We start from the raw sequence: 13,199 nt of genomic DNA on the forward strand, positions 1-13,199 counted from the left end.
GTAATACTCAGCTACTCCTGGCTGAGGCAGGAGAATCACTTGAACCTGGGAGGCGGAGGTTGCAGTGAGCCAAGATCGTGCCACTGCACTCCAGCCTAGGTGACAGAGAGAGACTCCGTCACAAAAAAAAAAAAGAATACAACTTTTATATCATGCATCCTCCCTTTCAAACAGCCATCATTCACCATTTACTTCCCATGCTTCCAAAAGTAAGCAACACACTCCAATTTTAAACTCCATAAATACTCTCTGGTGGCATGTTTTATATATTTTTGTTAATAAAAATAATAATAGATAAGGGCCCTTATATCTTTATCTTGCCTTCTTTTTTTCAGGGTGTCAGTGACCTTTATATGTCTTCTTTCAAAGGGACTTTTTAAAAAGTTTTCCCTAATTCTCTAAAGATCTACTCAAATGTTCTCCACAGTGCTTGGATACCTGACACCAAGCTGGAATACTGGAATTGTGTGTTAAATGTGTTTTTCTTCCAGTAGTAAAACAGCATAAGGAAGCTATCTCCCTGAAAAACTTTAGAGGTTTATATGAATTAATTTAAGGAGCTTATCCTATTCCACTCTACACTCGGGGCAACCACAATTGCAGTCGTTGAATGCACTGGGTGATAACATCTCTCCTCAGCACTCTTCTCAGAGCCTTAGCTACATCTTTATTCCGGAGAGTATAAATCAGAGAATTCAATGTGGGCGTAATGATGCTGTAGAACACAGAACCAACTTTGTTCTGCAATAGAGTGCACTGGGACCTGGGTCTCATGTAGGAGAAGATGCAGGCACCAAACCAAAGAGAAACCACCGTGAGGTGGGAGCCACAAGTGGCAAAGGCATTTCTCTTGCTCCCAGATGAGCGCATCTGAATGACACTTTGAAGGATGAAGACATAGGATGTAGAAATCAGGAAGATGGGGAGGAGGAGGAGAATGCTGCTGATGTACACTGTGGTCTCATACACAGTGATGTCGCCACATACCAACTTCACAACAGCTGGGAACTCACAGTAGAAGTGGTAGACTTTCCGAGGCCCACAGAAAGGGAAGTGCATCAAGATCGCCATGTGAATTAGGGAGTTCACGGATGCCCCCAACCATGACATGACAGCCATCATCAGTCCCACCTTCTTGTTCATGAGCACAGCATAGCGCAGTGGATGACAGATGGCAACATAGCGGTCATAGGACATGACAGCTAAGAGAAAACATTCAGCACCACCTAGACACAAATAGAGGAAGTGCTGGGTTGCACAGCCCACAAAGGAGATAGATTTCTTGCCAGATAGGTAGTTGGTAGCCATCTTCAGGATGATTGTGGAGACATGCATCAGATCCATGAGGGAGAGCTGGCTGAGCAGGAAATACATTGGTGTATGAAGCTGGGGATCAATGCAGATGAGGAGAATGGTGAGGGTGTTGCCACTCACCGCAATAAGGAAGACCACCATGGTCAAGGAGAAAAGGAAAAGGTGGGTAAGGGAGTCATCGAAGAGCCCCTCAAGGATGAAGTCTGCCAGAGAGGTCTGATTCTTCTGCCACATTGTCCCCTTTCTCAATCCCTGAGGAAACAGAGAGTGGAGATAAAGAGTGTGACTGGAAATACTGGGGTCCAGTATACCCAAGGAAAAGCACCTTTTGATAGAGGACAGAACCTGTGAAAAAAATTTCCGTTTCTAATTATTCAACCTCTCTAATTATTCAAATAACCTTTTTTTAAAAGAGAGCTTAGAAATCTGCCTTCACAAACATAATCACTCTGAAATTTCAGAATATCTGGACTCTATTATCAAACTTCAAGTCTCTTCTCGTTAAGAAAGATATATATGTGTGTGTGTGTGTGTGTGTATGTATATGTATGTGTGTATATATTTATTCCCCATTTACTTCCTAGGCTTCCAAAACACACATATGTATACACACACACACACACACACACATTTGTCTTTCTTAATGAGAAGAGACTTGAAGTTTGATACTTAATGGAGTCTAGATATTCTGAGATTTCAGAGTGATCATGTTTGTGAAGGCAGATTTTTAAGCTCTCTCTCTCTATACAGACACACACAGAGAGACAGTTTGGAGAAAAGCTTGGGGGCGTTGCTTATTTTATCAGTGAGGATTTTACTAGAAAAGCTATAACACTAAGAGATTTCTCTTATACAATTGTGGAAGCTGGTTAGGCAATCTATGCGTGGCTGTTACCTTTGTGTCTGATGCTGGAACTTTAATTCCAGAGGGCAAGTAGTCAGGAAAAAAAAAATGGATATAAAGAGTGGCAGATCAAAGTCATGCTGGAACCCACAAGCATGAGCTGCAATCCCACAAAGGCAGACTGAAACCCATGTCAGTTCTTGTTGTCTCTGAAATTGGCGGTGTGGATATCCTGCAGAAGCTGGGGCGCCTCTTTTTTTTTTTTTTTTTTTTTTTGAGTTGGAGTCTTGCTCTGTCGCCCAGGCTGGAATGCTGTGGCCCGATCTCGTCTCACTGCAAGCTCCGCCTCCCGGGTTCATGCCATTCTCTTGCCTCAGCCTCCGTAGTAGCTGGGACTACAGGCGCCTGCCACCACACCCGGCTAATTTTTTGTATTTTTAGTAGAGACGGGGATTTCACCGTGTTCGACAGGATGGTCTCCATCTCCTGACCTCGTGATCCCCCCGCCTCGGCCTCCCAAAGTGCTGGGATTACAGGCGTGAACCACCGCACCCGGCCGCTGGGGCGCTTCTTAATGGCCAGATTAAAAATGCACACACCTGGCCGGGCGCGGCGGCTCACGCCTGTAATCCCAGCACTTTGGGAGGCCGAGGCAGGTGGATCACGAGGTCAGGAGATGGAGACCATCCTGGCTAACACGGTGAAACCCCGTCTCTACTAAAAATACAAAAAATTTGCCGGGCGTGGTGGCGGGCGCCTGTAGTCCCAGCTACTCGGGAGGCTGAGGCAAGAGAATGGTGTGAACCCAGGAAGCGGAGCTTGCAGTGAGTGGAGATCGCATCACTGCACTCCAGCCTGGGCAACAGAGCGAGACTCCGTCTTAAAAAAAAAAATAAAAAAAAAAAAATAAAAAAAAAAAAGAATGCACACACCTGACCCAGAAGTCAGAAAAACTAAAGGAGAATCCAAGGGAAGGCCTTTTGAAGACCATCTGGTTGGCAACACGTTTTGGTGCTGGGGCAGTGTCCTCTAGGATGTGAAATATACTCTAAATCTGCATCCAATTTATGCTGCTCTTCCTCCCATAGCAAGATTCATGGAACCAGAAATCACCAGGTAGAAGAGAGAATGAGTCCTCTCACTATAGCCCCCATAACTGTGACCCACCAGCACAATTTTAGTTTTCTATCCCTTCACTTTTAGCTTTTGCTGTTTTAGAGGTCTTAGTTCCAAAGGGAGAAATTCTTCTACCAGGTGTCACAACAATAATCCCATTTTCTGATAGTTAAGACTGCCACCATGCCACTTGGGGCTCCTCATAGAACTGAATCAATAGGCAAATAAGGTTACTCTATTGGCTAGTAAGACTGATTCTGACTAGCAATGGGAAATTCAGTCACTACTATACAGTGAGGATATGGAGAATTATGTCTGCAGTCAGATTTTCTAGGGTGTACTCTCATGTCTCATGATGTAAGCCAATAGAAAACTACAACCCAATTCAGACAAGACTGCTAGTGGCCCAGATGCTTCAGGAATAAAGGTTTGGGTTACCCCACCAGGCAAAGAGTCATGAATAACTGTAGACAAAGAGAATTGGAATGGGTAGTGAAAGCAAGTCGTTATAAATACCAGCCAAAAACCATGTGAGCAGCTACAGAAACAAAAACTGTAATAGTTATGGGCATTTATTCTGTGTGTGTGTGTATGTGTACTGAATATTTGTTTTCTTCTCCTCTGTCATCCCCCGTATCTAACATAAGATGTATTAATAATTGTTAATTTCAGGCAGGGGACAGTGGCTCAGGTCTGTAATCCCAGCACTTTGGGAGGCCAAGGCAGGCAGATCACCTGAGGTCAGGACTTTGAGACCAGCCTGGCCAACATAGTGAAACCCTGTCTCTACTAAAAATACAAAAATTAGCCAGGCTTGGTGGCACATACCTGTAATTGCAGCTACTCGAGGGGCTGAGGCATTAGAATCCCTTGAACCCGGGAGGTGGAGTTTGCAGTGAGCCAAGATTGTGCCACTGCACTCTAGCCTGGGCGACAGGGCAAGACTCTGTCTCAAAAAAAAAAAGTAATCTTAATTGATTCCTCAAATATCCACCCTATTCTTTTTTGTGTTTTTTCTCCTAAATGTCTTTCTAGACCTTCATGCGGTGACGATTATCTATTTACTTCTTAAAGCAAAGAACTCAGAACTGAATGCATTCTCCCAAGCATTTGATCAGTAAGAAAGAGGTCACATCTGGCCGGGCGCGGTCGCTCATGCCTGTAATCCTGGCACTTTGGGAGGCCACGACAAGTGGATCACCTGAGGTCAGGAGTTCGAGACCAGCCTGACCAACATGTAGAAACCCCGTCTCTACTGAAAATACAAAATTAGCCGGGCGTGGTGGCGCATGCCTGTAATCCCAGCTACTCCAGAGGCTGAGGCAGGAGAATCGCTAGAACCCAGGAGGCAGATGATGCAGTGAGCCGAGATCACACCATTGCACTCCACCTTGAGCAACAAGAGCAAAATTCTGTCTCAAAAAAAAAAAAAAAAGTCACATCTATTACTGTCTCTCTCCTAATGCAGTCTACAGTCTCATCTTTCTGGCTGTCACTTCACACTGTTATTTCACACTCAGCTTCTGGTGGACTAGAAGCTCAACTTCTCCCATGCTCCTCCTGATCACTCCAACCCATTAGAGATCTCCACACACTTCCCTTTTATTTAAGTATCCATATACTTCTCTATCACTTTCCACATTAGTGTCCATCTTTCTCTACAAATCTCCATGGTGTAAGTTTTTCACCATCTGACCTGTGTCTCTCTTCCTCCCTTCAGCAACTTTGCTAATAATTTCCCATTCTGATTTGTGGCCTTCAAGTGACTTTTTTTTTTCTCTGCCTTCCAAGGAAGCTTTCCTTATGGATTGACTTAAGGGATAAGCTGACAATGCCCTAATTTATAATAAAGGTTTCCTAAATACCTCAAGCCCTAATATTATCTTACCTGTTATTTCCCTGCAGAGACTCGTAGGAAGACAAAGCATAGAAATGAAATGCAGAGGGCAAGAGAGGTCCACACTGACCCACCTGTTGGCTACTGTTGATCAAAACAAGCCTTTTCTGAGGTGCTCACCAGACTTCCTTCCCTAAGCCTGGAAATTTCCATTTACGTTACATTTACTGTGGAACGGCATAGAAGAAATTGCCCCAACGCAGGCATTGTTGTTTGCACTAATTACCCTAATGGCAGAATATCACCAGGACCAATGGGACACATGTGTGTTCATATTGTGAGCTCCATCAACACACATCAGGACAGATTAAGTAACTGAACTTTAGCCTCTACTAGTTGGACCTTTGAATCACACATATGCTTCCTCTGGCTCTATATGTATATTTGAGACAACCCTCCATTCCAATATCGGAGCTTGGGCAATAGGAATTTCCATTAATATTACTTTATTAAGAAGGTAAACTGAATACCAGTTTAATCATGAATGTGCCCAGAGTCAAAAGAAAATCTGTTATGGTTTTCCATTGTTTTGGATCTCTCAAGGCACTCTCTTCTTAGCTTTACACTTCCTTCCCTACTTAATAAAATATGAATTTGGCTGATGCAGTCAGGAAGCACTTTTCTGACTGCATAAATGTCTTCTCAATAGTAATCATGGGGGTTAGAGTAAGAACATTCTTGGTCTGATGTGAGCCAATCATAAGAAAAAACAGACATCATCTGGGAGAAATAAAACATCCCCCTAACCCAGAGGACCTATGTCAGCTGAAGCAAATTGTGGACACTAAATAGAATGGCGTCAGGGATTCCATCCCAGAGGACACATCTTGCATGGCTTCTGGAGACCATTACTCAAGATGTCAATTAGACTGTGCTGTATGCACTGAGATAAGCATCCCCAAAGGGCTTTACTTGGAGTTTGTTCCAAGTGATCAGGAGAATGAGATATTTTGCGGAGTGAGCCTGAAGATAACAGGAGAATATTCTCCTCAGGGGCCAATTAACTGTGGAGATAAAAAATTCTTAGAGTCCCTTGATTGTTTTTCACTTGGGAACCCAGATTTCTGTAACGCCTTTCCACGCAACCCTTTTGAGAAGACAGTCTGAGTAATAATATCTAGTCTCTTTTGCCCACAGGACCCTTTTGAGGGTTTCCATGTGCCATATCATAGGAAAGAAGTCAAGGAATAGAGGCAGGCAGTTCCCATCCTAGCTGTTGATCGTACTCCAATTTCATAGACTACATGAATATAACATGTCAAGAGATTTCAGGTCGAGTGCGGTGGCTCACACCTTTAATCCCAGCACTTTGGGAGATGGAGGCAGGTGGATTACTTGAGGTCAGAAGTCTGAGACCAGCCTGGCCAACATGGCAGAACCCTGTCTGTACTAAAAATACAAAAATTAGCCAGGCATGGTGGCACACATCTGTAGTCCAAACTACTCGGGAGACTGAGGCAGGAGAATCACTTGAACCCGAGAGGTGTAGGTTGCAGTGAGCTGAGATCGCACCACAGCACTCCAGCCTGGGTGACAGAGTAAAACTTCATCTCCAAAAAAAAAAAAGAAAGAAAGAAAGAAAAAGATTTCAGACACAGAGGGAAAAGGAAAAAATGGCATAACCCTACCTCTCCTTCTTATGCACTCCGATATCATTCTCATACCCTGCCCTTCCTTTCCATTATAGGGATATGTTGACCTCTTCTTTGTTTCTCCATCTCAACTCAAATCCTAAAATGTTTTGCTTCACTGATATTCGCTGGTTGTTTAAAATTGTGTAGCACTCTCCCCAACTCTCTCTCACTCCTGCTTTCTCCATGTGACCTACCTGCTCTCACTTTGCCTTCTACGGTGAGTAAAAGCTCCCTGAGGCCTCCCAAGAAGATCATCGGACACAAGCACCAGGCTTCCTGTACAGCCTGCAGAACCATGAGCCAATTAAACCTCTTTTCTTTATACATTACCCAGCCTTGGGTACTTCTTATAGCAATGGAGGAATAACCTAATACAGATTGCAAATAATTTCTCTCATTCAATAGGTGGGCTTTTTATTTTTATTTTTTATCGTTTCTTTGCTGTGCAGAAGCTTTTGAGTTTGATGTCTTCCCACTTGCCCGTTTTTGCTTTTGTTGCCTTCTTTTGGTGTCATACCCAAGAAATCATTATAAAGGCTAATGTCAAGAAGCTTTTCCCTTATGTTTTCCTCTAGGAGTTTTATGGTTTCAGGTCTTACATTTTGGTCTTTAATTCATTTTATGCTGATTTTTGTGTATGGTGTAAGAGAGGGGTTTAATTTCTTTGTTTGCATGCGGATATCCAGTTTTCCCAAAACCAGTTATTAAAGAGACTATCTTTTCTTTTTTTTTTTTTGAGACGGAGTCTCACTGTTTTGCCAGGCTGGAGTGCAATGGCGTGATCTCGGCTCACTGCAACCTCTGCCTCCCAGGTTCAAGCAATTCTCCTGCCTCAGCCTTCCAAGTAGCTGGGATTACAGGCACATGCCGACATGCCCAGATAATTTTTGTATTTTTAGTAGAGACGGGGTTTCACCACGTTGGCCAGGATGGAAAAGAGACTATCCTGTCTTTATTGTGCATTCTTGGCACACTTGTTGAAGATAAGCTGACTGTATATGCATGGGTTTATTTCTGCACTGCCTATTCTGTTCTGTTTGTCTATCTGTCTGTTTTTATGCCAATACTGAAGCGACATCATTTGTCTGGGGAAATACCCAAGGTTCGTTGTCTTGTGCTAAGGAAATCAAATATGAGGACACATACAAGGAGTGGGTTTAAGAGCAGAACTTTAATTAAAGTGAAAGAAAGAAGACAGAGCTTCCTCATGCAGAGGAAGGGAACCAAAGTGGGTTTCCAGGTTTGGGGTGAGATGCAGTTGACTTTATAGAGGGGCTTAGAAAGGCAGTGTCTGATTTTCATAGGGCCCATGGGATTGGTTGGACCAGGTGTGCCATTTACATAGCCCGTGATTAGGCTGGCCATCCCACCCTAATCTTTTATTATACAGGTGGGATCTCCACCTGGCCAGCACCATGACATCTGCACATTTGGCAACAAAGAGAAGGGAGGAGAAAACCTCCATGTTGGATGTACCTGGCTTCCAGGTATCTCTTTGGTATCGGCACGGCTGCCAGTATTCACCTATGCAAGCTTCCAGCTTGTGTATCAATGCTTGCAGCTTGATTTTTCAGGTTGATTTTTGTTAGAAAAGAAATGATGTGGGGGCTGCTTTTTATTAAAAGGAAATTCCACTGAGAATTCTTTTACCCTTACTAACTGCCTAAATAATTCCTTTTTAACTTCTATATCAGTATCATGCTGTTTTGATTATTGTAGCTATGGAATATAGTCTTAAATCAGGACTTGTAATGTCCCCAGCTGTGTTTTTCTTGCTCAAAATTGCTTTGGCTATTTGAGGCCTTTTGTGGTTCCATGTGAATTCTAGGATTTTTTTCTATTTCTGTAATAAATACCATCAGGATTTTGATAGAGACTGCACTGATTCTGTAGGTTGCTTTGGTAATATGAACATTTTAACAATATTATTCTTCCAATTCATTAACATGGAATGTCTTTTCATTTATTTGTGTTTTCTCCATTCCAAAAACAACATAATACACATTCTTATCATCTGCAATGGCACATACTCTAAAATCAACCAATCAGCCATAAAACAATTCTCCACAAATTCAAAAAAACCAAAATCATACCAACCACACTCTCAGACCACAAAACAATAAAAATAGAAAACAATAATAAGAATAGCAATCAAAACTAAACAATAACATGGAAATTAAACAACCTGCTACTTAATGACTTCTAGGTAAACAATGAAATGAAGGCAGAAATCAAGAAATTCTTTGAAACTAGTGAGAACAAAAGATATAATATACCAAAATCTCTGGGACATGGCCAAAGCAGTATTAAGTGGAAAGCTTATAGCACTAACTGCCCACATCAGAAAGCTAGAATCTCAAATTAACAACCTAATATCACACCTTGAGGAACTAGAAAAACAAGAGCAAACCAAATCCAAAGTCAGTAAGAGACAAGAAATAACCAAAATCAGAGCTGAACTATATGAAATTCAGGTGCAAAAAAACCATACAAAATATCAATGAAACCAGAAGTCGATATTTGAAGGAATAAGTAAGATTGATAGACCGCTAGATAGACTAATAAAGAAAAAGAGAGAAGATCCAATTAAACACAATCAGAAATGACAAGGGGACATTACTACTGACCCAATAGAAATATTTAAAAAAAACAAAAACCTCAGAGAGTATAACAAACACCTCCATGCACACAAGCTAGAAAACCTACTAAAAGTGGCTAAATTCCTGGAAACATACAATCTCCCACGATTGAACCAGGAAGAAATTAAAAATCTGAACATACCAATAACAAGTTACAAAATTGAATTGGTAATAAAAAGCCTATCAACCAGATAAAGCCCAGGATCAGAAGGATTCACAGCTGAATTCTACCAGATGTATAAAGAAGAGCTGGTATCATTCCTGCTGAAACTATCCAAAAAACTGAAGAGGGACTCCTCCCTACCTCATTCTATGAGGTCAGGATCATCCTGATACAAAAACATGGCAGAGACAAAACAAAAAAAGAAAACTTCAGGTCAATATCCTTAAAAAAAACATAGATGGAAAAATTCTTAACAAAATACTTGGCTGGGCTTGGTGGCTCACACCTGTAATCCCAGTACTTTGGGCGGCCGAGGAGGGCGGATCACGTGAGGTCAGGAGTTTTAGACCAGCCTGACCAATATGATGAAACCCTGTCTCTACTAAAAATACAAAAATTAGCCAGGCGTGGTGGCACGTGCCTGTAATCCCACCTACTCAGGAGCCTGAGACAGGAGAATCGCTTGAATCCGAGAGGCGGAGGTTGCAATCAGCCGAGATCAGGCCATTGCACTCCAGCCTGGGCAACAAGAGCGAAACTCCATCTCAAAAAACAAACAAACAAAATGCTAGCAAATCTAATCCAGCAGCACATCAAAAAGGTAATCCACCACTATCAAGTAGGCTTTACCCCTGGGATGCAAGGTTAGTTCAACATATGCAAATCAGTAAGTGTAATTTATCACATAAACAGAACCAAAAACAAAAACCATATGATTATATCAATATATGCAGAATACATTGGGAGTCATCCACCTGCCCTCCCACCTGGGGGTTGGGAGGGCAGGTGGATGACTACAAAGCGGATACACAGGGTAATGATAGGATGATGAAACTATTATATTTGGTACTGGAGTGATAAATACATAACTCATGCATTTGCCAAAACCCATAGAACCATACATCAACAAGGAGTGAACTTTGATATACACAAAATTTTAAAAATTAAACAGGATGTTCAAAGAATTCCAGGATGAAATGCAGACTGTGAGGATGACTCTAACTATATTACAAATCTTTATTACACAATCTCACTGAAGAATGGAGTGGTAGGGGAAGGAGCTGAATAACTTTGGAAAATGCTGTTTTGATGGAAAAACATAAGGTGAAAAATAAAAGGAATTGTGCACAAACACTGTACTCCAGTTGATAAATTTCTCACTGGGATACAGGTTAACAATTCTGAATCTGCTTTGCGTGTATGATGGGGTTATAAATAAACAGATGGTGGATGATCAGAGAAGAAAATTACAGATGATAAGAAAGGAGGGAAGGCTAGAATGAATCTCATGGAGCTGGATTACAGTTGGAGACATTAGTATTAATTCATGCTTAGCTGAATATAAATATAGATGGGTAGACAAAGAAATAATTCTAGAAGTGTGTATATATATGGGTATTGTGATGGTTAATAATGAGTGTCAACTTGATTGAAGGATGCAAAGTATTGATCCTGGGTGTGTCTGTGAGGGTGTTGCCGAAGGAGATTAACATTTGAGTCAGTGGGCTGGGAAAGGCAGACCCACCCTTAATCTAGGTGGGCACCATCTAATCAGCTGCCAGCACAGCCAAGATATAAAGCAGGCAGAAAAATGTGAAAAGGCTAAACTGGCTTAGCCTCCCAGCCTACATCCTTCTCCTGTGCTGAATGCTTCCTGCCCTCAAACATCAGACTCCAAGTTCTTCAGCTTTGGGACTCTGACTGGCTTCCTTGCTCCTCAGCTTGCAGACAGGTCTGCATGATATGCAGATACCACCGGAAAGTGGACAACTGCAGCACTACAGCCCCTTTCTAGGACATCCCTGAAGGACAGGAAGTCTGTTAGCTAATTCACTGCATCAGACTAACCTGTAAAGGTGTGTGACTTAAGGTCTGTCATGGCCTTAGGTCTTATTTATAATTTGGTATCTTATTGTCACAGAGCCCATTTTGTTAATCCTGTTGTCTCTATTTTAATATTAATGTTGGGCAGCTGTTGTGTCTAAACTCCAAAAGGGAGGAGGTGCACCTGAGACACGTCTAACTTCTCAGCCCATCATGGCCAGAAATTTGTTTTTCAGGTTTCTCCGGAGTCCCCTTAGCCAAGAGGGGGTTCATTCAGTCAGACGGGAGGCTTAGGATTTTTAGTTTACAACTGACAGTTTATTTTCAATCCTGTTTGTATATCAAGAAGCATGGGAAAGAGTTTATGGGTGGATTTTTTTTTTGGTTGGCTTTTTTTTTTTTTTTTTTTTTAATTGATCATTCTTGGGTGTTTTTCACAGAGGGGGATTTGGCAGGGTCATAGGACAATAGTGGAGGGAAGGTCAGCAGATAAACAAGTGAACAAAGGTCTCTGGTTTTCCTAGGCAGAGGACCCTGAGGCCTTCCGCAGTGTTTGTGTCCCTGGGTACTTGAGATTAGGGAGTGGTGATGACTCTTAAGGAGCATGCTGCCTTCAAGCATCTGTTTCACAAAGCACATCTTGCACTGCCCTTAATCCATTTAACCCTGAGTGGACACAGCACATGTTTCAGAGAGCACAGGGTTTCGGGGTAAGGTCACAGATCAACAGGATCCCAAGGCAGAAGAATTTTTCTTAGTACAGAACAAAATAAAAAGTCTCCCATGTCTACTTCTTTCCACACAGACACGGCAACCATCCGATTTCTAATCTTTTCCCCACCTTTCCCCCCTTTCTATTCCACAAAACCACCATTGTCATCATGGCCCGTTCTCAATGAGCTGTTGGGCACACCTCCCAGACGGGGTGGTGGCTGGGCAGAGGGGCTCCTCACTTCCCAGTAGGGGCGGCCGGGCAGAGGCGCCCCTCACCTCCCGGACAGGGCGGCTGGCCGGGTGGGGGGCTGAACCCCCCACCTCCCTCCCGGACCGGGCGGCTGGCCGGGCGGGGGGCTGACCCCCCCACCTCCCTCCCGGACGGGGTGGCTGGCCGGGCAGAGGGGCTCCTCACTTCCCAGTAGGGGCGGCCGGGCAGAGGCGCCCCTCACCTCCCGGACAAGGCGGCTGGCCGGGCGGGGGGCTGACCCCCCCACCTCCCTCCCGGACGGGGCGACTGGCTGGGCAGGGGGCTGACCCCCCACCTCCCTCCCGGATGGGGCGGCTGGCCGGGCAGAGGGGCTCCTCACTTCCCAGTAGGGGCGGCCGGGCAGAGGCGCCCCTCACCTCCCGGACGAGGCGGCTGGCCGGGCGGGGGGCTGACCCCCCCACCTCCCTCCCGGACGGGGCGGCTGGCCGGGCGGGGGGCTGACCCCCCTACCTCCCTCCCGGACGGGGCGGCTGGCTGGGCGGGGGGCTGACCCCCCCACCTCCCTCCCGGACGGGTCGGCTGCCGGGCGGAGAAGCTCCTCACTTCCCAGACGGGGTGGCTGCCGGGCGGAGGGGCTCCTCACTTCTCAGACGGGGCGGCTGCTGGGCGGAGGGTCTCCTCCCTTCTCAGATGGGGCGGCCGGGCAGAGACGCTCCTCACCTCCCAGACGGGGTCGTGGCTGGGCAGAGGCGCTCCTCACATCCCAGACGGGGTGGCGGGGCAAAGGCGCTCCCCACATCTCAGACGATGGGCGGCTGGACAGAGACGCTCCTCGCTTCCTAG

General features: G+C 44.4%; 1 protein-coding gene across 1 annotated transcript, besides 1 other annotated feature; it reads right to left on the minus strand.

Moving 5' to 3' along the window:
• Positions 1 to 576: 576 nt before the first annotated feature.
• Positions 577 to 1,548, minus strand: OR2AE1 (olfactory receptor family 2 subfamily AE member 1). Its single transcript, NM_001005276.1, has one exon. The coding sequence runs from the start codon at positions 1,546 to 1,548 to the stop codon at positions 577 to 579; it is 972 nt and encodes a 323-aa protein (NP_001005276.1).
• Positions 11,785 to 12,552: an enhancer, noted in NCBI's record as "NANOG-H3K27ac hESC enhancer chr7:99484893-99485660 (GRCh37/hg19 assembly coordinates)". NCBI's record gives its function as "activates a minimal SCP1, AML or CMV promoter by ChIP-STARR-seq in primed H9 embryonic stem cells {active_cell/tissue: H9 hESC(primed)}" and the evidence as "EXISTENCE:reporter gene assay evidence [ECO:0000049][PMID:30033119]".

The sequence above is a fragment of the Homo sapiens genome, chromosome 7, assembly GCF_000001405.40.
Source record: "Homo sapiens chromosome 7, GRCh38.p14 Primary Assembly".
In the NCBI taxonomy this organism is placed as follows: domain Eukaryota; kingdom Metazoa; phylum Chordata; class Mammalia; order Primates; family Hominidae; genus Homo; species Homo sapiens.